Source organism: Homo sapiens, chromosome 18 (genome assembly GCF_000001405.40).
Source record: "Homo sapiens chromosome 18, GRCh38.p14 Primary Assembly".
In the NCBI taxonomy this organism is placed as follows: domain Eukaryota; kingdom Metazoa; phylum Chordata; class Mammalia; order Primates; family Hominidae; genus Homo; species Homo sapiens.
In genome coordinates, this window is record NC_000018.10 from 3,025,204 (window position 1) to 3,025,976 (window position 773).

Here is a 773-nt window from a genome sequence, read left to right on the forward strand (position 1 = left end):
CTTTGAGATGTGGATCTTCTGGTGACCAGAGAACTTGAACTTGGCCCTGCACAGGGCCTCAATCACATGCTCCTTGTTCTGCAGCTTGGTGCGGATGGACATGATAACTTGGCCAATGTTAACCCTGGCCACAGTGCCCTGGGGCTTTCTTTCCAAAGGCACCTCACATGCCTGTTTGGAGCCTACATTGGGGTAGTGCAAGGTCAGAGACATGAACCCCCATCTGAAAGGCCTGTCTCCAAGGTCCCTTAGAGCAACCCATACAAGAAACAGGCTGCACACACTGCCAAGGAAGCTGCTGTTTGCAGCCATTGCACATGTACAACTTCTTAAAAAAAAAATCTTTTTATTTAAGAGATGGGATCTCCCTATGTTGCCCAGACAGGACTTGAACTCCTGGCCTCTAGCAATCCTCTTGCCTCCGCCTCCCAAGTAGCTGGGACTATGGGTACCCAGAGTCAAACTGTAACAACTTTAGAAAACAGTTTGATATTATCTAGAAAGTTCAACGTGCACACACACAGGGACCAGTAATTCCAATGTTAGGTACATGCCCTCTAGAAGTTCTTGCCCAAGTGCCCTCAAAGACACATACAAAAATAGAACAGCATTGCTCATAATTGCAAAGAAACAACATGAATGGCCACTAAAGGTGGAATGGATACTTAGATTGTGGTGTAATCATATAATGAAATCCTACTGATTTACATCAACATGGATGAATTTCAAAAATAAAATCTTAAGCAAAGAAACATCACAAGATCAAAGTATGA

At 44.0% G+C, this 773-nt stretch overlaps 1 non-coding gene across 1 annotated transcript; it reads right to left on the bottom strand.

The window, feature by feature from the left end:
* Positions 1–230: 230 nt before the first annotated feature.
* Positions 231–364, bottom strand: LOC124900407 (small nucleolar RNA SNORA70). The gene has a single exon (XR_007066480.1). It is a non-coding gene; the product is annotated as a small nucleolar RNA SNORA70 (small nucleolar RNA).
* Between the last annotated feature and the right edge of the window lie 409 nt (positions 365–773).